At 44.8% G+C, this 27214-nt stretch overlaps 1 protein-coding gene and 1 long non-coding RNA gene across 6 annotated transcripts in view, besides 2 other annotated features; both read left to right on the top strand.

Moving 5' to 3' along the window:
* Positions 435-1634: an enhancer, noted in NCBI's record as "MED14-independent group 3 enhancer chr5:160365148-160366347 (GRCh37/hg19 assembly coordinates)". NCBI's record gives its function as "activates an origin of replication core promoter dependent on BRD2, BRD4, P300/CBP and CDK7 cofactors, and independent of MED14, by STARR-seq in HCT116 cells {active_cell/tissue: HCT116}" and the evidence as "EXISTENCE:reporter gene assay evidence [ECO:0000049][PMID:35650434]".
* On the top strand, positions 1149-7997 carry LINC02159 (long intergenic non-protein coding RNA 2159). 2 transcript variants are annotated; one of them, NR_151858.1, is made up of 3 exons: positions 1149-1321; positions 3666-3785; positions 6142-7997. It is a non-coding gene; the product is annotated as a long intergenic non-protein coding RNA 2159 (long non-coding RNA). The 2 variants fall into 2 exon arrangements; NR_027111.1 differs by having other exon boundaries at positions 5968-7997.
* A 2417-nt stretch (positions 7998-10414) lies between these two features.
* Positions 10415-27214, top strand: part of ATP10B (ATPase phospholipid transporting 10B (putative)) — a 366241-nt gene continuing 349441 nt past the window's right edge. For all 4 annotated transcript variants that reach the window (XM_017009252.2, XM_047416995.1, XM_011534468.3 and 1 more), the window contains exon 1: positions 10415-10553. The gene's annotated coding sequence lies outside the window, so the exon portion shown is untranslated. The remainder of the gene's footprint in view (positions 10554-27214) is intronic.
* Positions 10624-11125: an enhancer, noted in NCBI's record as "NANOG hESC enhancer chr5:160355657-160356158 (GRCh37/hg19 assembly coordinates)". NCBI's record gives its function as "activates a minimal SCP1, AML or CMV promoter by ChIP-STARR-seq in primed H9 embryonic stem cells {active_cell/tissue: H9 hESC(primed)}" and the evidence as "EXISTENCE:reporter gene assay evidence [ECO:0000049][PMID:30033119]".

Raw genomic sequence — 27214 nt, 5'->3', positions numbered from 1 at the left:
AATCAGGAGTGCATTCTAGGCAGCAAATCCAAAGGCCCAGATTTTGAATCAGATGAGTCTTTCCCTGATGAAACCATGGCGAACTGTTTTTTTAAAAGTTCTATTTTTAATTAGGAAACAAATGCAAAGTAAAAATAAGACAATATTGTCCACTGATCAAATTTGCAATATGAAATAATTATAATCAGAGCTGGCAAATCATGCTCTGAGGTTGTGTGTGATCGGCTACAACTCTTTTTTAGTGAGAATGGGCAACATATATCTATGGCCTAAAATCTGTCATACCCTCTAAGATAAAAATGCCCCTTCTTAAAAGTTGCATCAATGTTGCTAAATATATGGAACTTCATTGTGGAATTTTTTTAAAATGGAGAAATTACAAAAACCCAGATGTCCAATAGTAGGAAATCAGTTAAATTGTGGTGCATCCATATGGTGACTAAATTATCATAGAGAGAATGTTTAATAAGGTAAAAAATACTCATAACAATGGATGAAGGTGATCCAATTTTGCTTTTTAAAATATTTGCATGAAAAACATTTAGAGATGTATTCACCAAAATTTAAACCAATGATGGTTCTTTGAGTTGTAAAATTAAAGGTAATTTGTATTTTTTTCTTTTTATTCATCTGTCATTTTGAAATTTTTTATAATGAACAGGTATCACTTCAGAGACCAGAAAAACATTAAAAGTATTCAGTTAACCACTAAAGAGAGACATTAGATGGGTAAAGGTCAGTGGTTTCCCACTGCTCACAGTATCAAGGTCAGATTTGCTCACCCGGGTTGGCCGCCACCTGCCACCCCAATCCCCTCTCTCATTATGCCTCTACCAGCTCTCTCAGCTCTAGCCATGCAGGTCTCCAGGTCTTTTGTTATTTTCCTGCTACCACAGAGCCTTAATATAGTAAATTGTATTATTTTTTTCAATTGTTCATTCCCACCTGTGAGGGAAATGGTTGCACTTCCGTCAGGAGTAGGCCAAGGCAGCCTTTTGGTGCAGCATGACTCAGCAGCTTTGGAGTGCGGGCACACAACCCCTCCACACATTATGTAACCATTCCATGTGAGGTGCATTAGGTAATCACCCATGAAAGCTTGTGCTTGGCTTGGAGCCACTATTGTCAGTAAAAAGTATAATTACCCTGCTAATGCTGTATATATGGCTTACGTTCAGGCTCTCCTGTGCCCAGAGAGAGAATAAAGCCATGTTGAAACCGTCCACAATTGCTTAAGTGTTTTTCCAGCTACCGCCACTCGCCTGACTCCCCTTGGACCTCAGTTAGAACCTGACATTTGGCGCCATGAACAGATCCTGAGGTGAGTGAGCCTTTGGTCCCCACAGATTCCGGGTCAGCCATGTGGCCACAACATGGGTTGTGGTACCCAGTGGCAGCTATGCTGCTCAGATGAAGCTGGAAGCACAGAGCACAAAGAAGGAGCAAGCTTTTGCTGGCAGAGTTAGATGGCATTTTTGACTGTGCTATAAGAAGTACACACCAAGTCCCTGAGGGGTAAAGCACAGGTAAGGGCCCTCTGGGCACAGGTTGGGCACCTGGAGGCCCAGCTACACAGCTCAGAAAAAGAGTTAGAAGCTGCCATGAATGAGAAACTCCAGGAGCAGGCAGGATGCTTGGAGGCTCAGCTACAGAGCTTGGAAAAGGAATTAGAGGCTGCTGTGAATGCAAGCCTGGGTGCATCATGTTGGCCCGAGACCCCCCACTCCGTCTGATACGAAGGAGGAAGAACCCCCATTGCGGGCTCACCCAGTGGTCCATCAGAAGGTAGATCATGAACAGCCATTGAGGCCACAAGGGCATGCTCAGGGACCCCCCACTGTAATATGAAATACTTTATATACTGCCTATACCCCAACTGAGTTGCAGGAATTAGGCAAGCAGTGTCTCCAGTATCCAGAGGAACCTCTGTCCACATGGATGCTTCATTTGCAGGACGAGGGAGCAGATAACATCTCCTGTTCTGCCTCTGAGGTGGAAAAGCTGGCCTCTATCATGACTCACCCCTCCCTCCATCAGCAGTTGCAGGTGAGCAGGCAGTTGGCGCAAGGGCAAGGTGACCACACCCTGATTGAGTGGCTATGGCCAGCCGTACAGACAGTGTGGATCAATGCCGAAGAAATACTCAAAACCATGAGTAAATGGCAGTCGTATGCCGATTTGGTGCAAGTCATCTGGGAGATGGGTATGTGGCAGGCTGTTTGACCTGAAAAACCAGGGGCCAGATGATGAATGTTTCACCTCCCACATGAGGGATCTCGTGTTGGGTTCTGTGCCCCCAAGTGCCTTTGGCTCCCTGGCTACAGTCCTCACCCCAGAGGTAGGGCACCGCATACATGGAATGACCACTGTTATGGTGGCTCTCAGGGAAGCAGAAGGTTGCCAGTGGGACCAAGGGGTCTGCGCCATACAAAAGGGGAAGATGCCCTGCCTTCTGGGGGCACCCCATGGGAGAAAAGGGGGCTCCAATGAATGACACACTCACATATGTGGGTATATTTGATTTTGGCCAGGGTTGACCAAGAGAAAATCGATAAGCAGACAATGAAGTTCTCTTAACTTTCTGGAGACAGTTATCTCTGAAGCAGCAATTCCAGAATATGCCCAAGGGGGATAAGGATATTGCTGCGTGACCAGGTCCCACCCAGGCATTTCAGCTCAAAGACTACTTGCTGCAGCTGGGCAGAAATCTAGAGGCTTTTCTGTTTGATTAGGGAACTGGCAGAGGCACCCAGCTTGGGGGGAAATCAGATGACTGGAGGCTACATATGGAATTAGGGATCCACTAGTCCCCCAACAAAGTGCAGTTGGTGCTGGCACTGCTGGATACTGGTGCAGATTGCAGCCTTGTTTATGGGAACCTGGAGAAGTTTCCCGGCAAACCTGCTTACACTGACAGTTATGGAGGCTGGTCAGTGAAAGTGAAACCTGTATCTCTGTACCTCAGCATTGGCCACTTGGCTCCCCATTTATATACTATGTATGTCTCTCCCATTCCAGAATACATTCTAGGGGTGGACATTTTACATGGCCTGGTGTTACAAACCACGGCCAGGGAATTCAGACACCAAGTGTATGTGGAAGCTGGTGCTGTGCAGACATACACATCACTAGCCTCAGGTCCTGCCACAACCCCAACGAGTTACTTCCACTCATCAATACCATTCGCCAGGTGGGCATACAGAGATAACTGAGACAACCAAAAAGCTGGAGGAGGTGCAGATAGTGCGTGGCACCCACAGCCTCTACAATTCTCCAGTGTGGCCAGTTAGAAAGCCTGATGGAACTTGGTGGATGACAGTGGACTATCGAGAACTGAATAAAGTAACACCCTCTTTGCATGCAGCTGTACCATCAATCATGGATTTGATGGACCAGTTGACAATGGAATTGGGACAGCACCACTATGTAGTGGACTTGGCCAATGCATTTTTCTCCATAGACATCACTCCAGAGAGCCAGGAACAGTTCACCTTCACGTGGGATAGGCAACAATGGACTTTTAGTGTTGCTGCAGGGCTATGAGCATAGCCCTATCAAATGTCATGGTCTAGTTGCCACAGATTTAGCCACGTGGCAATGTCCAGAAAGGGTCCACCTATTCCATTATATTGATGATATTATGTTAACTTCTGATTCTCTTGCAGATTTAGAAGCAGTGGCGCCCTTCTTGTGGCAACATTTGGCTGCATGTGGTTGGGCCATCAACAAATCCAAGGTCCAACAGCCTGGATTATCTGCGAGATTCCTGGGAGTTATCTGGTCAGGTAAGACAAAGGCCATCCCAGAGGCTATCGTTGATAAGATTCAGGCATATTACCGGCCCACCATGGTGAAGTAGCTGCGAACTTTTGTGGGCCTCCTGGGATATTGGCAGGCATTTGTGCCCCATTTAGCTCAAATGATAAAACTGTTGCATCAGTTAACAAAGAAGGGAGCTACCTAGGACTGGGATGGTGCAGCTTAGACTGCCTTCCTGGCATCCATGTGGGCTATTCAGCAGGCACAAGCCCTACAGGTAGTTGACCAGGGGTGCCAATTTGAGCTGGATGTGCATGTGACCACAGATGGTTCCGGTTGGGACCTGTGGGACTGCATGGAGTGCTTGAGAATTCCAGTAGGCTTTTAGTACCAACTGTGGAAGGGAGTTGAGCTCCAGTATTCCTTGATAGAGAAACAGCTAACAGCTGTATTTGCTGCCCTTCATGCTTGTGAAATTATGACAAGATGGGCTGCAGTCATTGTGTGGATAACTTACCCGATAGTGGGATAGGTGCAATCACGGGTAATGACCCCCAAGACTGGGACAGCACAGACATCCACTTTGGCAAAGTGGGGCCTCTACTTGGAGCAGCAGAGTACACTGACTACACGTGTCTTAGCAGCAGAGTTGCAAGAGGTCTTGGGGACTGTAGTGCTACTGCAAGATAAGGCCATGGGACCTGAAGCACCCCTAGACCCTGAACCTTCACTGTTTAAGGAAGGGCATTCCCCCATTCCTGATGGGGCATGGTACACAGATGGATCTAGCCCAGGTGCTATTGCTGCCTGGACCACTGTTGCAGTCCAACATAGTACTGACACCATATGGTTTGAAACCAGGTGTGGACAAATTAGCCAATGGGCTGAACTCAGAGCAGTGTGGATGATGATCACCAAGGAGGTGACACCTGTGGTAATCTATACCAATATCTGGGCAGTCTATTGAAGCTTAACCTTGTTGTTAACTACCTGGAAAATAGAGAAGTGGCTAGTCGGCCACTGACCCATTTGGGGCCAAGCCATGTGGCAAGACCTCTGGGAAATGGGTCATCAGAAAAAGAACTATTTATCACGTGTCAGGCCATATGCCTTTGGCCACCCCTGGCAATGATGAGGCAGATGCCTTGGCCAAGATCCGATGGTTAGAGTTGGCACCTACATGAGATGTGGCCTTGTGGCTACACTGGAAACTGGGACACATGGGGAGTAAACTGATGCAACAGGTCAATAAGCGTTGGGGTCTGTCCCTGTCCACACATTTGGGAGGGTTGTCAGAAATGCCCAGCATGTGCTCAGGCATACCCTAAACAGAGGAAGCTGCCCAGTGTTACACAGGTAATGACAGGGCAAGTATCCTTGACTAGGTGGCAAGCAGACTACATCGGGTCACTGCCAAAGTTGCAAGAGTATACACATACACTAACAGCTGTGGGCATGGCCACAGGCCTGTTGTTCGCCTACCCTTGCAGGGTGGCCGAACAGCGGAACACCATCTGGGCCCTGCAACACTTATGTGCCCTGTATGGTTGCCCTCTGGCCATTGGGCGTGATAGGGGAACATATTTCACTGGACAACAGGTACAACAATGGGCACAACCAATGGACGTAAAGTGGGGATTCCGTGTGCCATACAACCCGCAAGCTGTGGGTATGATTGAACGATATAATGAGCTCTTGAAGAATAGGTTATGCTTGCATGTCACACCCCCATCTTTTTGGGGCCGCAGTTCAAGGTTGGACCTGGTGCTCCAAACCTTGAATGAAGAGCCACAGAAATGTGGCTGGTCCAGCCCTGGTGAAGGCTTTGTTACACTGGGCTGCCCACCCCCCAACCACCTTCAGTTGCAGATACACACCAAGAATTACCTCCTCCAACCAGGTATGGGGATGAATGGAAACCTGTTGTTGCCTGCCCCTGTGGCCTACCCCTGTGGCCCCTGAAGGCAGGGAACAGAAAACCTGGCTTTGGCCATGGACCCTCCAAGACCCCACTGCCAGTGGTTGGCCATCATAGCTCTCTTGGGGGAGGGCCTACATCATGACTTGCATGTCACTCCTTGGGTGTTCAATACATGGCCCCTGCGGTTGACCGTTCATAGAGAAATGGCCAGGGAAGGAACCCTTCTCCAGGGGACATATGTACTGTCTGTGTGGCCTATCATGAGCTTCCCTGTGACTTTGGCACAGATACAAGACTCAAAGGAACCATGCGGAGCTGATAAAGTGTGGCACCATCTCCCAGGGCAAAAACTGTTGGCATCTGCATTGTTATCCAGAGATGAAAGGTTAGACTGTATTTTGCCTGAGGGACATGATTTAACTCTGTTAGTACCTGTGCCTGCTCTGTCATTTCGACCGTAGGTTGACATGCTCCAACTGCATTGTGGACTGGGCCCACACCTTCACTGAGGTGACCAATGTTTCCAACTGTTGGATCTGCACCATCCTTCCAGGAGCAGCTGCAGATGGCTTGCCTTGGCACATACATTCAGCATCTGCAGAGAAATGGACATGGCTGGAGACTTTGAGTCCCATGGCCGACACCTGGAATGCGACAGGGCAAGCTGCAGACAAAGAATTCCGCAAGACCCATAGCATGCCTGCCCCATCTTGCCTGTAGCATTTATGATGGGAGGGGCTGGCTAGTGGGGAAATATGTAGTACCCCCAGCTCAGGGACGGCAGTGCATAGAGGAACACTGGGGTAACACCACTGTGGGATGGCTACCCTGCAAGGCCTGTGTAAACATAACACATGTCACCACACCGAAGGTATGGTGGAACATGCGGCCCCACCCAAGGTCAGGCCCTGATGGATTTTATGACCCCTGGGAGTTTATGGGTCATTGAGGACACAGGGTGTCCTTACCTACCAGCAGACTGGCCTGGACGTTGTACCTGAGTTTGGCCTTACGTACCTGGCACTGTTCTCCCTGCTTTGCCCAGATGCCAGAATAACTGGGAGGTGCTATGCTCTCACTTTTTGTGAGTGCGATGAGGCCCCTGGTGGTTCTTCACCTTGGAAGTGACTATCCCTGGAGTGGGTATCATAACTGTAAAAGCAGAAGTTACTGCTTTTGCAGAGCACACCGCTCGGGCTCTGAATCACACCCGAGGGGCCCTCCTCCTGTCAATTGATGCAGTTGATCAGATCAGGAAGGTGGTGTTGCAAAACCGAATGGCCTTAGACATAGTAACTGCTGCCCAAGGAGGCATCTGTACCCTTTTAGGAACACAATGTTGTACCTTTATCCCTGACAGTCAGCAGAACATAACAGCAGCCCTTCAAGGGGTCTCATGGGAGAATAAGTTTCTAGGGAGCCTTACTGATGAACCCCTGCAGAGAAGGAGGGGCATCCCTAGGCTCTGGCCTATGCTGGGCCCCAATAGTTATAAATAGCGTAACTGGGATCCTAGTAGCTGTTGCTCTCTGTATTGTTATTGTGGGTTATAGATTCAGGGCTCTGCTGTATGGGCACATGTCTCTGCCCGGAGGACACTCTTGGCCTAGGGAGTGGAGGGTAAGGAAAATGGCTGCACTTTAGTCAGGAATAAGCTGAGGCAGCCTTCCAAAGCAGCATAACTCAGTGGGTTTGGAGCACAGGTGCACAGCCCTGCACATTATGTAACCACACCATGTGAGGTGCATTAGGTGATCACACACGTGCGCTCATGTTTTGCTCAGAACCACTATTGTCTGTAAAAGGTATGGTTACCCTACTAAAGCTGTACATATGGCTCACCCCCAGGCTCACTCATGCCCAGACTCACTCGCACTTAGAGAGAGTAAAGCCAAGTCAAAACTGTCTACGATTCCTTGAGTGTTTCTCCAGCTACCCGCCACTCACCCCACCAACTCCCCTCGGACCCCAGTTAAAACCTGACACCACCCCTTTCCCTGTAAGAGGAGTGCATTCCTGCCCACTGCCATGCAGCTTTCTATGTCCCCAGTGGGAGGCCCATGCATCCCTGTCCCATCGGCTTTTGGCTTTGACCAAAGGAACAAAAGCAGACATGACAGAGGCCACATCCAAGTAGAAACTCTAAGAGGCAGGACAGGTGTCCACAGTACTCCTGGTCTTTCTTTCTGCTATGAGAATAGCATATCCCACTTAGGAAGCTGTTCCTTCAGCTTAAGTCCCTGAATGGGAAACTGCTGCAGCCAAAGAAAGCTTCAGTCAATGCATAGTCTCCCTTTAATAAACCTTGTGGTAGAAATTTCTGAGATTTGGAGATCATTTGTTACTGCAACAATACTGACCACTACACAGGGTGCATGGTGTTTCTCTATCTGGAACAATCTGATGCCAACCCCACTCCTCTGCATCGTTAACTCCATCCCAGTTCTAATCTGACTCTTTGACCTGGACAAATCTCTTCACATGCTTTCACAGCCCTGGGTATCTTTCCTCCTTAGCATTTATCCCAACTGTCATTTCACCACTTGTATGTGATTATTCAATCAATATCTGCTGTGGTGTAAACCCCTAGAGTCAGCACTTTGCCCAAAACCACACAGCTGAAAGCTGGTGGTGCCAAGGACGTGAATTCCAGCAGTCTGGTACCAAAGTCTGTATTTGTAACCACTAGACTAGGCTGCTATTAATTTCATCTGATGAATGGTACAATCAGAGACCAGGTGATAAGTACTGGGGGGAAAAAAGAATGTTGTGCTCTGCACAGATGAGTCAAGGAAACAATTCTTTATTGTATACACAAAATCACCTGAGCTTCCGATGAGACGGGGGTGAGCAGCCTCAAGACAGCATGTCTTCTTGGGTAAGTATAGATTTAAGGGTAGATTTCCCTACTGTCATTATTGCCCTCCACCCAATTCACTAGTAAAACAAAGCAAATTATAGTAACAACAACAGCATCAACACCTTGGGTCCTCTTCACACCCCTGGCTGTGCCTAGCAAGATGCCCTGTACGTATCAAGTGCTTAATGTGAATTGAATCAAATGGGTCCTATAGTCTTTATCTTATGATTAAATGCTTGACATAAGCAAATGGTCATATGAGACCTAATTGCCCATATAATAACTCCACTTGGTGAGGCAGGTGGGATATGAGAATCTCATTCTAAAACTGAGTCTGACTGTAGAAATTAGGAACCTGAACACAGACTGCCTCAGCCATAGAGGAGGGAGAGGATGATTCTGGGGCCCACACACCTGGGTTCTTCTCCAAAAGAAGAGAGCCTGGGAAGGGGCTGGCATAGGGAAATTGGCTTTGGAACAGGTGATCTTAAGGGGCCTGCATATCTCCTGTAGGTGACAAGGTGTGAGACCTGGGCCTCAGGTGGAGAAAGGGCAGGGCTAGAGCTCAGTGTCTGTGCTGGTGCAGTAACAGTTCAATGACATCATTTCTAAGGCCTCTTATAGCTGGAATATCTTTGAGGCCAAGGCTGTCTCCTCTGACAAAGCTCATTTGTGAGTTAAAGGGAGGAGGGAGATGCTGGAGTCAGCTGCAGAATTCCTGAGGGGAGGGTAGAAGAGTGAGTTGGAAACAATGTGAAATAGCTGGTCCCCAACTCAACTCGGGCTGGTAATAAAGAATTTAGATCTATTCTGAGGCAGTATTTCTCCAAGTACAGGTGCAAGACAATCCAAATCAGAATCGCCTCAAAGAATTTTTTTTTAATATGAATTCCTGGGCTCTCTCGGAATTGAGAATTGTGTGCAGAAATCTGTATTTTTCATATTCCAGATAAGACTTATGAATCCTAAAATCTGGCAATTTCTGGAAGAAAGTAATACTAACTTGCCAGGGTAGGGAAATAAAATCCCAAATCCTTAGATTTGGTACCTGAATAAGTGTTCTTTTTCAAGGATATTTAAGTCACCATTAAGATCACCTGTGGATTCAGTGGAACAGGTGTTAATGGGGGTGACAAATTGCTTTTTAATAACAGACACGCCGTACATTGCTAAACTTTCCTTGGTGATTTCCCTAACACTACACAGAGGAAAAACTGGAATTTCTTTACATCTTGTGAGAAAATTTCAAACTGTTGCTCAGGTTCTCTCTGCTGAGAATAAGGGTAGATGCTGCATCATCCTGAGGAAAGCTTGCGACCTTGAGGTACTGGTGCAACATGGCCAAATCTCTAGCACCAAAGACAGAGGCAACTTGGTTTGTATTGAAGCCATTTCATGCAGCAGCTAAGCAGAGACCCCATCTCCTGATACCTGGTCTTCATATTTCTACAGATTTTTAATCAAGCACCAGAAAACAGGTACTCTTCATTTTTTTCATAGCAGGGCCAAAGTCCCAAGTTCTGGCTCTAATTAACCCAGGTGCTCTCTCAAAATCAATTGTGTGGCCACAGCAGGGCTGGTGGAGACATGGGTTAGCCACCCACCAGCTAAGAGCAGCACACAGGTGGCCTCTCGGGTGCCTGAGCTAGTTAGGCCAGTCCTGCCAGAAGCCAAGGGAGGAGGGTGGAGATGCAGGGCTTGGAATAGGAGCCTAGAGTGGATAAGGAGGGTGGGGCTAAGCAGGTTTCTGCAGCAGGCCCAGAGAGGAGGAAATTGGGGTGGAGGAATTGTGTTCAGGCGTGTGACACTGAAGGCTGGGCTTCTATATGGGTGGGGACCACCTGCTCCAGCCACCCATGAGAAGGAGGTTCTCTGTCAGTCGCTCCCCTTTGATGGGATATCTGGGGGTGGTAGCAGCTCAGTCTTTCTCCCTAGTGTCCCACCAGAAAAAAAACACCCAAGGAGTGCCAACCCTCCCTGTCAGCTATGGAGTTTACACCAAGGAGGTAGGAGGTAAGTGTCTTGTTAGATCCTAAGGCTTGGGGGTGATTTTTCTTCTCAGTTCTCTCCACCAATTGCCAGCCTGGGGCAGGGATGCTACTTCAAAGGGAGCCTCTGAGGCTGTCCTTCACCTCAGTACTCTGGGTCCTGGGGCTACAAGCTGTTTTCACCCTCAGCCACCAGCAGCAACAGGATCCCAGGGACCCCCAATCCTCTATCTATTTGGGAAGCTCTTTGCCCAGGGCATACAGGTGACTGTGTTATGAGGGCTGTTGTAGATGATAATGGTGATAGCTCTATGTGGTCGTGGTTCCTTTCACATGCTGATGAGCAGAGCACCCTTGCAAGGAATCTCTACCTTAGCTACTGACTGCTTGGAAATGAGTTGCCTGTCTGGACAGTCTATAGCACATAGTCATTGGGCACTAGTTGTACTATTTCAAGGCCCCTTTCCAAAAGGTTACAAAATCACTATGCAAGAACTTGAAAGAAATGTGTGTGGGGAAGAGAGGGAGAGAGTTGGGATTTTTATGATGGTGCCTAATAAAAATCATAATGGTGAGAGCTTATTGAAGCCTTATGATTTGCAAAGCATGACTGGGAAGCACTTTATATATTATTACAAGCCCATGAGGCAGGTGTTATCTATCATTACTGATGAGGATGGTGAGACTCCGAGAAGTTAACTGAGCCAATGAGGGTTTACTGATCCCAGAACCCATGTGCTTGACTTCAGTCGATGAGGCCATATTTGACCAAGAGTCTTCCAGTTTCAAAGTGTACAGGGCTGGTGAGGAACTATTTGGGTTTGTAAATAGCCTTTCTCCAGGCAGAACAGAGGTGACGGCCCCAATCCCCAGTGACCATGCTCAATAACTAATTCAAAGCTTGGTTTCCTCTCAGACCTCAATGGCCCGCTCTTGTGGGGTTGGAGACTGTTAAGAGTCCCTGTCAAAAATATGTAACCCATGTGGCCTGTGCCATTAAGAATACAGGGACTGTGCAACTCAGAAGTGAAGCTAATTCTTGAAGCTCTAGAGCAGTCAATAAAAAAAGGGAAGGAAATGTGTTTGAGAAAGGAGAGCTGGACACCGAGCCAGTCTCACCTCCAAAGCATGGTTCACTGGACTCATGACTCTAAATCTGGCCCTCTCCCCACCCTCACCTCATATCAGGTCCACCAACCTATAGTGAGCCAGCAGCCCTGGCTGTTGCTCTGTTTCCTTCTCAGGACCTTGGCACTCTGTCTTCCCTCTGCCTGGAACACTTATTCCTTGGCTTTTCCCAATATTAGCTTCCTATTTTTAATCAGGTTTCGGCTCAAAGGCCATCTCTTCACAGAGAGCTTCCCAGATCACAGCATCTAAAATACTGCCCCCAATTCCTCTCCCTCACTGTGTTATTTTCATAATGCCTATCACAATCTGAAATTCTTGTCTTCCCATTTATTTTTTAACTCTCCCATTAGCACAAAAGTCCCATGAGTGTAGAGACCTTTCTTCTACCTCCTAGACACTACTGTGTCCGCTGGGCTTGGCAGAGTCTCTAATAATAGCAGGGGCTTGCCTAATGCTTGCTGAGTCAATGAGTAATCGAAGGGAACAGGAGATATCATGACCACCAGTTTACCTCTTTCTCATTCAACACCTCTGCTCAATCCACCTCAGGAAGATAAACATCTTGGTTTAAGAACAGAAGTAAAGAACACCTGGATTTTTAAGTGCTCAGGGACCAGCTGATTTCATTCTTGGGGTAAGATAAAAAGGCTAAATGGCATCACATGGATTTAGTCTCCTAAGAAACAGCAAGGTATGGTAAGACTGGCTCTGCTGACCAGTCTTCAAAAGCGACAGCATTTCTGACTCACCCCAGCTTGTCCTTCTAGATGCCAGGTATGGTATTGATCTTAAAGATGTGGGGGTACTTGTCATGCCAATACAATTTCAGAAAGCTGAAAGTGCACCCTTTTACCCTGCTTTATCAAGCCACCCACTTAAATTTCCAGTGCACTTTGCTCGCATATCTCTTTCTGTTTTGGGTGTCATTCATTTTTAAGATGGGAAGAGGCCTACATTTGGAATCAGGGGATCCAAGGTGTTTCTATGAGCTGTACTCTTCTCTGCAATTGTGGGCAAGTCACTTAGTGCCTGCATTTCTTATGTTGTTCCCTCTGTAAAATGGAATAATAACTACTGTTCTCTATAGCATGTGAGGTTGTTTTGAGATGCACAGGTAATGTGAGCCCTTTGCAAAGCACTTAGTGTGACAGTGATGTAGAAAACAGCACAATACAGCTCTTGCTCAAAAGCACACAGCTCCACAAGCAATGGGGAGCAGCGAATACACAGGAAGGTGTGTTTGATTTGGAGAATTTCACTTGCAGAAAATCCACAGTACCAAAAGAAATCTATCAGAGGAAGTGACTTCTAGGCAGGATTTCTTTTTCCAGGCAGCTACCTCAAGAATCAACTTACACGCTTTAATTAACACTCAGCCTATTTGCTTTGCAGAGAGAAGTATTTGAATCCAGCCTAGTGATGCTTCCTCCTTGGCAACCACACAGCGTTTGGCAGTATTTCACATGCTGGTGGTTTTTATGGGTCCCTTATTGCACTTACGTCTTCTTCATTGTAATGGGTGTTAAGCGTTTCTGGCGTCAGCCCCAGCCCTGTCTGTTTGATTTAAGAGACATCTGATTTTATATCTGATCCTCAGGTTGGCTCCTGTGATCCTGTTTTTAAGTCTCTCCTTATCTTGTTCTATTTCCCTGCGCTAGTCTTCATTTGCAGATTTTAGGAAATGCTTTTTTTGAAAGAATAAATTTTGAATTAGAAGCCAACTCAGAGCCCTAACAATTTTCTGGGAAGCTAGGGGCCCATAAGCAATGTTGTATTATGAAAAGAGAATTACATTAAGTTTCTGAAGACCCGGGCTTGAATCCTGGCGGTAATTACCAGGAATTCTTTTCCAACTTCTTGTGCCACGATAGAGATAATAGCAATATCAGCAGTGAACTTTTACTGAGAATTTACTAAGTCTTAAGAGTCTTCCTTGGATAATCTCATGTAGATTATCCAGTGCCTACTATCATGCCTACTATCTGTTTTTGGAAATTGAAAATGTGAGATTTAAAAGTTCCAAGGTCACCAGGTGGTAAGTGATAGAACCCAGATTAGAATGCAAACTGGTTGATTCAGAGCACGTGCTCTCATCCACCAGGTGCAATGCCTTCTACTGGGCTATATTACCTGGCAATCCTTATGGATACATCAGTTGACATTACCAGGCATCTGCTTTTCACAGGATGTTATCTGATGAGATGAGGCCTATGAAGGTACTTGGAAACTGTGCACTTTTATTCACCATTGTCCACTTGTCTTGTTTACCAAGATTTAGGAAGAATGTTCCAAAAGGACTCCTATTTTCCTAATTTCATGGCCTTTAAAGAAAATGACAGATATTTTCATAAAGAAGAAAAAAGATGCAACTTACCAAAGGAGAACATGAAATCAACTAACTCAGAGTACACATTGTTTACAAGGCTGAAACCAAACTGTTTTAAATTCTTTAACTTTTTAGGAGAATTTGCAGCTACTGTATCCCATGCGAGGAATTAATAACATAAGCATGATAGTCAAAATGTATTTACTACTTCGTATCTGCCACTGATAGAAGCATTTCTCTTATATGCAAGAGGCAATTTATCACAGTGACTAAGGGGTTGGATCATGGCTTACAGTGGCTGGCACTGCCAGTTGCTAGCTGTGTGACCTTGGGCAATTTTCCCAACCACTCTGTTTCAGTTTCCCCGTCTACAAACGGGGGTGATAATAAACTCATCCCCTAGGGTTATTGTCAGAGTTATACAAATCGATAGGTATGACGAGCTTAAATAGTGATAGGTCCATAATGAACTTCAAAAGTTTGCTGCTGCTGCTACTTTTCCCTCAACTCTTTTATGAGATAGGGACTATCATCCCCATCTTGTATAAGTGTAAGGAACTAATGAATAATAGGCAGGCCACATGGCCAGAATCAGGATTAGAACTTTGAACTCTTATAATCCACAGCCTTCCCTCTTCATTGTCATATTTTAGTAAACTTTCAAGGAAACATAAACTCCACTGGGAATTTAGTTTGACAGGAGTTTATACTCAAGATCCAATCTACTTTCTAGGTAATTATCGGTGTCCTGTCATCTTTAGCCTGGTAAGTGAAGTGTCTTGTTGCAAATGACTTAAGTTGTGTCTCTAGGATTTCACCAGATTGACCAGAACTTTCTCCTCTCTTCAGGATTCTCTCTGTGGGCAGGCAACCACACAAGCCTTGAGGTAATAAGTTTGCTTATTAAAAGCAATCAGTGGAGCTACTGTTCCCCAAGACAGAGCTCTGGACCTGGCCATTTTGAGGGCCTCTTTCAGCTCTGTGATAACATTTCCTTATGCTGGCTTAAATCTGTTGATATAAAATCTCTTGAATTAGAATGTTAGGATAAGTGACGAGAAGAAATTGTTTCAAGGGCTGTGCTGGGCTGGTCAAACACAATTACCATTTCTCGTGTCCTTAAGCCATGATAGCCAGTTGGATATTAGAGTTATTTTACTGGATCATTCTCCAACTAGGTGGGCCCTGGCTTCTGCTGCAATCCCAGCACACGATCACTGCACCATGACCCCGATAAAGCAGTCATCCTTCTGCTGTCTGCACCAAACACGCAAGGCTCTCAGGTGCTTCCCATGTAATAACAGTAGTTAATAATTAATACCTTTTATTGAGTATTTACTATGTGTAAGTTTACTTAATTAGTTCATGTAATTCTAACACAGCAACACTCTAAAGTAGATTCCAGTATTATCCTCATTATTTTAAGGAAGAGGAAACTGAAACTTAAGGAGCACACAAAGTTGGCCCAGGGGCACCCAGCTGAAGGTGGCAACACGGAGGCCTAACCCCAACCCTGTGTGATTAAACACATGCCCTTCAACTCTGTTCAGCTGCTCCAAACTCCTATTGCCTGAATGGGGCTCACAGAGGTAGTTTGATAACACATTACAGATTATCCTTGAAAAACCTGTTCTGCTGGCAAGGGATGGGGACAAACCTGCCTCACTTGTTTTCCTGAGTCCTTGCAGCCCTGGCCTAGCTGGTGGAGCCTGTTTGTTTTTCTTTTGCCTAATCTTATTCAGACATAGTTGAGCTGCTTAACTACTCAGCCTGGCTTTCCCAGACAACCCTTTCATCAAGGGAATGTCCCAATAGGTAAACATGAGGGCAGAGTGTTGGTCTCTCCAAGGCGCCTCAGCCCCATCCTTTTGAACACCAATCCTGTTGCATTTTTCCAATTTCTCTTTCCTTTCTTGTTCTCTGTTCAGTCTGGTTTAATAGTAAGTGGGACTTGATCACAGATCTTAAAGTATAGTTTCAGTGCTATAAGATAATTTCAGTAACTGGCTTCTTGGCTTGAGGACTAGCTTGTGTATCCTGTCATTTACAAACACAGACAAAACAGTGGTCCCATTGTGGCTGTACGTCAAGAAAATCCTGTTTGTTCCTCATAAGTGGTATTTATGCAAGCTGGCTGTTATCAGGAAGGTGCGTAAAGTCAGAAAAATCTAGTTAAAGCTTGGACATCATCCTCTTTAATGTCTGTGTGATCACGAATAAATGCATTTTCCACAGTTGCATAATACTGCATTTATTTTGGTCAGCTCTGCACACATTTATGATAACACTTTCACAGCGTCCTGGGCACCGTGCTGATTCCTATATGTATACCTTTTCACTTAACCTCCAACCTCGTGAGGTAAATACTGTCATCATCGTTTACAGATTAGAAAACTAAGGTTGGTAAGGTTAAGTGCCTATTAAATGGCAGAGCTGGGATTCAAAACCAGTTATTTAGATGTCAGAATCCATTCTCCAGGCCAATGTCATGTACTGGGGGATGATTTGATGTTAAATTCTTCCTCTTCCACCACAAGATCATGCACAAGTGTTTCTCGTGTGCACAGTCTCCTTTTGAAGCTAATACTGAGGACATGTTTTCAAGCCTTGTCAAGCTGCCCTGCTCTTCCTTGCTTGCCAGCCTTCCGATCGATGGCAAGCACAGCTTCTGTCTCATGCCCTGGCCACAGCTCATTTTCTCTTCTGCTCTGTCTATTCTCCACATCACAGAAAGACACTTCATCGATGAGTGTAAACTTTTTTCTTTACTAATAATTGAAAAGTCTTCCAAACAAATACTTGTGCTTACCTCTGAAAATAAAACCATCCTATTTCCTTCCTCTGCAGGGCAGAAAAGTCAGCAGATACTATTGCATTTCAGGACCCTCAGAGAAAAAGCAGGGGCTATATGTGGGGACAGCTGAATGGGCCTTGGACCAAGGGCTTGGAGGGGCCCCATTAGGATATAAGCCCGAGAGTGCAAGGATCTTCTCCATCTTGTGTGTCACTGTCCCCAGCACCCAGAGCAGCTTCCAAGTACATAGGAGCTGCTCAAAGATATATTCACTGAATCAGTATGTCAGCTTCTAAGACAAGTGTGTGTCTATTGCAGATTTGTTTTTCAGATTGGTTTTTGTTTGGTTTGCTTAGGAGTAAAAATAAGGGAGAAGGTTAAGTACTGGGTCATTGGAATTCTTTGTAGACACATTGTCTTCTATTGACATCTCAGTATTTCTCTGCCTACTTAGTCTGGGTAGTCACAGGTGAAAATTTGGCTGGGTGGTGACCATCTGAGTGTCCTCGGACCTGCCTTTTTGCCCACATCCTCCTCCATTCTTTACTTCCTTTTCAGTGAATCATCTGAAACTATAATATTTCTATTTACTGAGCACTAACAACGTGGCAGGCCCAGTGCTAAATACCTCCATATATTACTACATTTAATCTTCATAAGATATTCACCTCTACATTTTGCACATGAAGAAAACCAGTGCTTGGAGAGGTAAAAGTGACTTGCTACAAGACACTCAACCAGCTGGTGATAAACCCAGACCTCAGTGCCAGGTCTGTGGACTCCCAATCCTGAGCCCTTTCTCTGGTCTACACAGTGAATCTACCTCTTCCCTTCAGCTGAGTTCTGCTATGAAGACTTTCATATGAGTCAGATGCTGATCCTTCTCTGACTTTTCTCAAGCCAGACACCCACCCGCATGAAAATATGTCATTTTCTAGAAGGGACATTCCTTAATGTCACCTACTGTTAAATGCCTGGGGTTGTGTTCCCCATCTCTATCAGAGGACACAAAATCCTGTAAGAGGCCTAGGCCTTTATTCTTCTTTGCCATTCCATTAAGGATGAGAAAAGAGGAACTGCTTTGTGGTCTGAAAACAACTCTAGCACTTAGAAAAGGCTGCCTGCGGGTATAAGTCATGAGGCCCAAAAGGGAAGCCATCTTTGCTCTCCTGCGAGTGAAGGTAAAGGTCATTTGGGCACACAGCAGAGGGCCAAGGGAATGTCCTGTGTTTGAGTCCTTCATGTTCAACTTTCACATCTTGTGGCACAGCCAGGTACAGCCTTCACTGATAACTATAAGACATTGTCATTTCAATGGAACTTAGGTTTGTTTAAAAGGAAGACTACTTTAATGGGACAATGAGTATTTCTTATCACAAACAGAGAGTGACTATAAAATTAAACACAGAGCAACATGTATAAACTCTAGCCAGACATTGCGGAAAGCTCTGGTTCTGAGACCTGTAAAAGGAGAGTTGAGATTAACTAGCCCTATTTATTGAGTGCAAAGTTTCAGATTGGGAAGATAGTCATTCTGGAGATAGATGGTAGTGATGGTTGCACAACATTGTGAATGTGTTTAATGCCACAAACTGTACACTTAAAAATGTTTAAACTGGTAAAAGTTATATATATTTTACCACAATAAAAAAGAATGAGGCAGTTCTTTATGTACAATTATGAAACAATCTTTAAGATATATTAAGTAAAAAAAAAAAAAACAAAGTGCTGAATAGAAAGCTGCTATTTGTGGCTTTTTAAAGGTTATATACACATGTACATTTATGGTTGTATATGCAAGGATCCCTCTGAAAGAATGACAATATTTGATCCTGTAGAGGAAGAATGACAATATTTGATCCTGTAGAGGAAGAATGACAATATTTAATCCGATAGAGGACATGAGCTTCTAGTGTCTGGGACCATAGCGGGGAAGGTGGGGAGCGGGTGTCGTGTCTTTGTTCACTGCTTACTATTTGATTTGTGTTGCATGTATAATTCATTATAATTGATTAATAATAATTTATTAAACCTTTAAAAAGAGAGAAAAAAGACTAGCACCAAACTGAGACTGTATCCTTAAAACTGTGGTTCTCAACTTTGACTACGCCCTAGACTCCAACTGCTCAAAGTGAGGCCCCCTGACCAGCATTGACGTCACCTGGAAGCTTGTTATAAATGCAGAATCTCAAGTCCCACCAAGGTTTTTAGAATCAGAATCTCCATTTTTGCCAAGCTCTCCAAAGGGTTTGCATGACATTGAAGTGTGAGAAGCACTGCAGCGGGGACTAACTAAATCAGCATCTCTGAGGTGTGGCTTGAGCCTAGGAGTTTATGAAAGCTCACCAGGTGATTGTGAAGGGCAAGTGATGTTGCAAAACACTGACTTACGTATCTGGGAACATTGAAGTGGTTAAACAGGACCCATTTTGTTACTATGTGATTCAATTCTCAATGTAAGTTCCATGTGCTTCTTCAAAGATCCTTGCATGTCCCATGCTTGAGAGCGCTGCCCAGAATGACCATGTCAGAGCTCATGAATGCTGAGAACACGGAACATGCAATATTGAGATTCTTCTAAGCTTGGTGGGAAAGATGCTCTTATTTAATAGCTTTGAGCCCATTTCTTCCTAATATAAAATAAGTTTCACTCTACACCAAAACATGTACCTATTAAGCCCTTTTTTATCCAGCAATTGAGCAAAACATCAGAGTAATGGCAAAATCAGACTTTGGAGTTAGAAAGATGTCGATTCAAATTCTTCTTTGAGCAGCTTCTACATACCCCGTAGGGCTGTCATGAGATGGTGTCAGAGATGCTCGATCGACTGTAAGTGCTTGACCACTATTCAGTGTCCACTCTCCCTGCCATTGCCACCCACAGGTGTCCTGAGCCCCTCTCACTGCCACCTTCCCTTCACATTTGCTTATTTTGCTTTAAGCATCTCAGTACAGAGGACAATTTTCACATTGCAGCTGAAGCTCAGGAACTCGAGTTCTACCTCCCCTGTTTCTTGACAAACAGAAAAACTCTGCTGTCTCTTACCAAATTATCTGACACATTTCTAAAATATAACTGAAACCTCATTACATGGATGAACAGCTTTCCATTGGCTCATTCCTAGCTCTGATATTAATAGAATTGTTGCCAAGACATCGCAGTTGGCCTCAGAGGCAGTCAGGAAGGCGCCGTCGTTAGCGACCCGAGATGGCTGCCAAGTGTAAAGAGAGCTAGCGGAAGCTACTGGGATTTCTGCATGGGTAGATGCCACTGTAGAGTGGATTCCCTGGTTCCCTTCCATTGACATGACAGAGATCAGTCAGCAGAGAGGGGCTGGGTTTCTAATCAGAGAATAGATATCCTCCTTCCACAGCAATCAGAATCATCTTTTCAAAATACAAATCTGAACCTGTTTAAAACTCTGCTTAAAATCCTCTAAGAGCTTCTCACTGCTATGAAAATGAGTACCAACATTCTTAATAGGGTCTACAAAGGTTGGCTGCTAGCGACTCCTCCCAGTCATCTCCCCAAATCCCATTTGTTTGATTATTGGGTTGTCCTTCCCACTGGATTGAGTACTTGCTTTGTGTGAGTCCTGGTTCCAAGACTATGGGCCAAGTCTGATTTTGCACAGTATCATAGCCTTAGGGCCTAGTACAAAGCAGATGCCCCAGTAAATATTCATGGAAAGAATAAATGTGTACAGGGATGCCATGCAAGGGTTTCCTGCCTGATCTTCCACTCCCTGCTTTTTTTTTTTTTTTTTTTTTTGAGACGGAGTTTCGCTCTGTCGCCCAGGCTGGAGTGCAGTGGCGCGATCTCGACTCACTGCAAGCTCCGCCTCCCGGGTTCACGCCATTCTCCTGCCTCAGCCTCCCGTGTAGCTGGGACTACAGGTGCGCGCCACCATGCCCGGCTAATTTTTGTATTTTTAGTAGAGACGGGGTTTCACCGTGTTAGCCAGGATGGTCTTGATCTCCTGACCTCGTGATCCGCCCATCTCGGCCTCCCAAAGTGCTGGGATTACAGGCGTGAGCCACCGCGCCCGGCCCACTCCCTGCTTTGTACTGTCCCTCATAGTAACACTAAAATGCTGGTAGCTGCCTATACAGGTACTAGGTCATTTTCTACCTCTAAGCTTTCACTTAAGTTGTGCCTCCTTGCCTAAGATTGTCATCTTATGCTTCTCTCCCTTTACCTAGGAAATCCTCCTCTGAGCAAGGTTTATCTACTCCATAAATTTCCCTTGGCTGGTGGACATTCTGAGATGTTACAGACCTCCCTTTTGTCCCCGTGATGATCCAACCCAACCTCTCTCTTCACTTTTCCATTGTTTGTGTCTGCCTCTCCAACATCTTAAAGAAAGGGAAATGAGAAAATGTGAAGTGTGTAGTATGGAAAGTGCTGAGTAAGTAGGATTTATGTGTGTGTGCAGGTATGTGTATGATGTATCACTGGTATTTCATGGTGAATATCATGGTGAATATCATGGTGAATATCATGGTCTATCTAGCCTTAAGATTTTTATACTCGCTGTTCTCTCCATTCAGATGCTCTTCCTACCTCTCCTGCTGATTTTAACCCTTCAGAGCTCAGATAAATTCTGTGATTGCCACACGGAAGCCTTCCCTGCCCACGTCCCTAGACTCAATCAAGCCCCCTGTTTATGTGTTCTTCTAGCTCTGTAGTTTATTACCACTTCTTGATATAGTTTATTGCCACTTCTAATTATAACCAGTATACTCATTTGGTCTAAGTTTGCCTCCCCCTTTATGCTGAAAGCTTCATGGGGACCTGCTCTATCTCCACTTTCCCTTAGCACCTAACATAGTGTCTGGCACCCCATAGGTGCTCACTGACAATGACTGCTTGATCATCTGCATCCCTATTAGGGCCCTCAGTGTGAAAAGGGAGAGTAGGGAGAGTAGACAGAATGAGAACACGCAGCTCTCCTTCCTCACTGTGGTCCTATGAGGATGTTCCTCAGCTGACTGTGCAGATAAACCTTGAGCAGCCCTTTAGCATCTCAGGGACTTGCCTGGAAGAGCTGTGGCTGCTGGTCCTCACCCTGCTCCACAGTGTCCCCTTCACTGCTTAAATCAGGTCACAGCTCCCCGAAAGCTTGCTCCTTGGAACACTCAGCCAGCTGCAGCTAACAACTGCTGAGGCAGCAAAGGACCATGACAGCAAACCTGGAAGGGAGGGTAGGTGGCAGGGACGCCAGCAGAGTTGTGGCTTGTAAATAGGTCTGACATCCCCAGACATGTTCTGTCTGCAAGAATATGTCTCACCTGAATCTGGGGGCCTGGCAGAGTGAAATCTGTTATCTTCCTCCCCTATCCAAGCTGGCCCAATCGAGGCACACAAATGGTGTGATTTGACTTGAGGATTGTAAAGATCTTCTAGGTGATCAATGCCCTCACCCCCATTATAATCCCACCACTTGTAGCTGAATGTTTTTCTGCCATTGACATTGACCAGGATACTGTTACTGACATTGCCAAACCACCCCAAAGCGTTTGTTCCATTTGCCCCATCCTAGAAAGCCTTCTGTTGCCTGTTCCCAGCCTGTTCATGGTTAGAGGTGTTTAAACATCCAGGTAGCCCAGGGAAAGCCTTGGAAGATATGTAACTGTGTCCTTGTCTGATAACAGTCCCTCACACATGAATGAGTGGTGGCCTGGTTACAGTAATGAGATAATGCACCAAAAAAAAAAAAAAAAAAGAAGTACCCTAGAATCAGGAGCCCTGGCCCCACAACCCAGCTCCACCTCTGATGTGCTGTGTGTCTCCTGCTACCTGTTCTCTGTGCCTCATTTGCCTCTTATAAGACAAATGGACAGGCAGGAGGAGATTAGTGGCTTTCACATGATGTTCTCTGGAGGTATAAGGTAGAAGAGATGCTATAGAGCCACCATGGTGGGCAAAGGGGAAAAATGCTGAGACTTTAATTCCCCACACTCACCCCTATATCTTAACACACCTTTGCACACACGTACACTTGCACGTATACTCAGACACAGCACAGGCACTCCTGATCTCTCTTCTCAGAGAAGCTTTCATCTGTGTTCTATACCAGCATGCTGTAAACCACACGACACTGTAGATGGAAAGAGAATAGAGTCCAAAGGAATGTGATAAGGCTTAGAATCCACTGAACTAGATGCTTTCTAAACTGTGCCAGCCCCTTGAGCCTCAGCTGTAATCAGGGGAAGATGGTCCTCCTCAGGCTATTAGAGGGTAACAGAAATGTCATGGTTAAAATGTGGGTTCTGTAGCCCAACTGCCTGGGTTTAAATCTGGCATCTATGACTTATTCTGTTCCCTTAGGAAAGCTTCTTAATCTCTTTTCATTTCCTTAACACTAAAATGGAGATAAAGGAGCACTTACCTCCTAGAGTCATGAGAATTAAAGGAGTTAAACATGTGCGATGCTTAGGACAATGCTGAACACCATCAGTACTCACAAGTATTGGCAGTTGTGATTTCATTGCTTAGCATTATTAAATGGGTGCTTAACATTTAGGGGGCACATGGACCCCAGTAAATCTGTTAAAGCTATGGGGTCTTACCCTGGGAAGCTATCTACAAAAAAAACATCTTTTGCCTTCAATTCAGAGAGCATTTGGTCCAAAGTCTTCAGTAGAAAACTGAGGCTCCAAATAAGAAATTTGCCTAAAATTAATAAAGTTCAGCAAAACAAGGGCTGGAGCCCAGGCTTCCTGATTCTCAGCCTTGTGTACTTTTCAGCACATACATCCCCAAATCCAGACATGATAAGGGCGGTCACATAGACTTGGATTCCATAGCTGCTTTTTCACTTGCTAATTGTGTGACTTGGGCAAATTTCTGAGCCTTAGTTTCCTTATCTGTAGACTAGGGATATACCATAACTCAAGAGTTGTTATAAAGTTCCTACCTCAGTGGGAACATGGAGGAGGGGATCAACCCCCATCCTACTCCCTGTTTCTATGGTTACAGGAGGGCTGTTCTAGGAAGTGAAGAGTCCCCTCTACACAGATGGCGGGCTGAGGGAATGCAAATAATTCAGTGCTGTGTGATTTTTACAGTATGCTGGTATAAAACACAGTTGAAAGCTCTGAGAAAGAACAGGAGAGCATGTACTCTGAGTATATATGCAAGTGTATGTGTGTGCAAAGGTGTGTGAGATGTAGGGGTGAGTGTGTGGGACGAATGTCTGTTTTGCCTCTTTGCCCACCATGGTGGCTCTAAATCATCTCTTCCAAACCCTACAGCTCCAGAGAACATCATGTGAAAGCCACTAATCTATTCCTGCCTGTCTTTTGTCTCATACGGGGCAAATCTCCAGAAGGTGTGATGGTACTAGAAAATAAGTCAGTGGGGCCGGGCGCTGTGGCTCACACCTGTGATCCCAGCACTTTGGAAGGCCAAAGCAGGTGGATCACCTGAGGTCAGGAGTTCAAGAACAGCCTGGCCAACACGGTAAAACCCCATCTCTGCTAAAAATACAAAAATTAGGTGGGTGTGGTGGCAGGCGCCTGTTATCCCAGCTACTCAGGAGGCTGAGACAGGAGAATCACTTGAATCCAGGAGGCAGAGGTTGCAGTGAGCCGAGATCACACCACTGCACTCCAGCCTGGGTGACAGAGTGAGACTCCATCTCAAAAAAAAAAAAAGTCAGTGTGCTTCAGGGAGAGTCCAGGGAGAAAGCGTGGGGAGAATACCTCATCCTGTATTTTTGTGAGTTCTCCTTCCCTAGATATCCAGGGAGGTGACTCCCCTATGGCACAACCTTCAAACAACTTCCCCACCTTCAAATGTTATTTCATCATATTTTTGAAAAACTTTTAAAGGCATAATTTAATATGATTTGAAAAGGTTTTAGTGATTCATTCAAGGAGGGAGTTACTTGTGAGGCTAGCATGAGAACCCAGGACTCCTGATTCTGAATTCAGGGTACTTCCTTTACTATTGCAGGCACTATGGTCTTTATAAAATCCCACTTCTAAGCCCCTAAACTAGTCTCCACCTTGTGCTGCTCCAGCCTTAAGTGAACCTTCTTCCAGGCTTTACAAAATATCTGCCACAAGCCTTGCCCAGAATTATAGTTGTCATGCTGTTCCTCAGGAGAGGCAGGCATCTTCCTAGATCTGAACTCGGAGAGGAATTTTTTCATGGTCCTTTGAAATGGAGCACTGAGCAACTTCCACAAACTTGCATTAAAATTGCAGAAAGTCTACCTCCTCCATTTCATGTTGGTAACTTCTGTCCCTGAACAGGTGCGTAGTTAGTACCTGGGCGTATGATCTTGCCTACCTATAGCCTTCCAGTTTTCATGTCCAATCAGCCCTCTACATATGCAGGTTCCACATCCATGAATTAACCAAGCTTGAATTTAAAATATTCAGAAAAAAGGGAAACAATAAAAAATAGCAGTACAGCAATACAAATAATACAAAAAAACCAATAGCATAAAACAACTATTTAGATAGCATTTGCATCATATAAGGTATTACAAGCAATCTAGAGACGATTTATACAGGAGGATATAGATAGGTTATATTCAAATGCTATACCATTTTATTTCAGGGACTTGGGCATCCACAGATTTTAGTATCTACAGGGAATCGGGGGGCCTAGAACTAATCTCACATGGATGATGAGGGATGACTATAGTTGGTTCATGTTTATAAGTACATAACTCCTCAATTAGACTTACACACTTTCTTTAGAATAGGGTAGTGTTTTATGACCTCTTTGACATTGGTTCTAACACAGTTCTCAACATAGAAGAAAGCTTAGTTTAACAAATAGTTGTTTACCTATCCAGGCAAAACATAAAAAAACCTGTTCAATTTTGTTCCATAAATATACATATATAAACACACACATATGTAGACATATACATTGAAGTGACAACTACTTTGCAATCTACCCTGAAGAATTTTACTTTTTCAACCTAACCTGTCAAACAGTGAACAATTTGGCAATTAACAAATTATGATAAATGATTGTTAATTAAATTTTATGACACATCAAGCAAGGACAATCTACTTTCGTATTAGAGAGAAACCAATATTTTTCTTGAATTGCTGCAAATCTCTCAAACAAGATACACATTTATTTAAGCACCTTCCAAAGGGACCGAGTTTCAGGAATTGCAATTTGCTAAGAGATTGGACTGGGTATTTTCACGGCAAATAATTCCATTTACATTACACCCAGGCCCAGTAACACTGCATGCTCTGAATAACTCATTGTTATCAGTGCGAGGTTTTCAACCCCATAAAAAGTGCAAGAGCATAAAGAATACATAAAGGAGACAGAACACTGAGGTTCTTTAAATGCCGTCAGCTTTTTTGCCAGCACTTTCTTCTTAGGGGCCTTGAGTTGGAGGGAAATTAAAGAAATGTGTTGCACAACCAAATTAGGATGGGAGATTTGGGCCAAGTAGATAGAGGTGAAGAAGATAATGGATGGACGGGATAACGAGCTCAGGGAGGACACTTGTAAATGCAAATACTAGGAATATGAATATGATGTTTTATTTTGCCAAAGCTGGTTTTATGAGACTGCAGTCCCATAGTAACTGCTTCTAGTGCCAGTGTGGCCTCCATGATCCAACAAAATGCTGAAGGAGGGAAGGAAATAAGAGGAGCCAGAAGAGAATCTCTCTAGCATCCTAGTTTCTCCATCAAATCTTAGCTTCTGGGATTTTTAGAAGTAGAAGGGCAACAGGGAGCAGCCGGTCCTACTGAGTTTCACAGTGTGGTTCAGTGTTGCTGAGGGCTGCAGAAAGCACAGAGCTGGGACCAGAATTGGAATCTTTTAATTCCCATTCCAGTTTCCATAAAAGAAGAGGAAAGAGCTCTTTCATCTGTTTAGCTACCTGGAGCCCTATTAGAAAGGGTTCTTGTTGCCTCATTTAACAAAGTTAAGTATTTTAATCACATTGGAAATGCTGTCAACAATCTTCAGAATGACTGTTATATGAGAAACATTGGGACACTACTCTGTAATTGAGTCATGGCCAGCATGTCCTCTTGTCCCACGAGGCCAGTGGCCTCAACACCATTCTCTCTTCTTTGCAGTACTGTCTTCTTAAATACCTATTTCTCAAAGAAGCAGGGGAACACACCTTCTGAATTACATGAAATCTATTCTGGAGCCTACAGAGAACACAGGAAAGTGTGGCATGCCAGATAGACAGCCCCGCTGAACTATCTACCCGGGGGTAGGAAAAGCACACTTAATTTAACTATCTTTCTTTCTTTCTTTCTCTCTCTCTCTTTTCTTTCTTCTTTTCTCTTTTCTTTTTTCTTTTTTCTCCTTTTCTTTCCTCTTTTCTTCTCTTTTTTCTCTCTTCTCTTTACTCCTTTTCTTTTCTCTTCTTTTCTTTTCTCTTTTCTTTTCTTTGACAGTGGCTTACTCTGTTGGCCAGGCTAGAGTGCG

Source organism: Homo sapiens, chromosome 5, assembly GCF_000001405.40.
Source record: "Homo sapiens chromosome 5, GRCh38.p14 Primary Assembly".
In the NCBI taxonomy this organism is placed as follows: domain Eukaryota; kingdom Metazoa; phylum Chordata; class Mammalia; order Primates; family Hominidae; genus Homo; species Homo sapiens.
The sequence above is the reverse complement of the archived record's forward strand: the minus strand, read 5'-3'. Positions and strand labels throughout refer to the sequence as shown.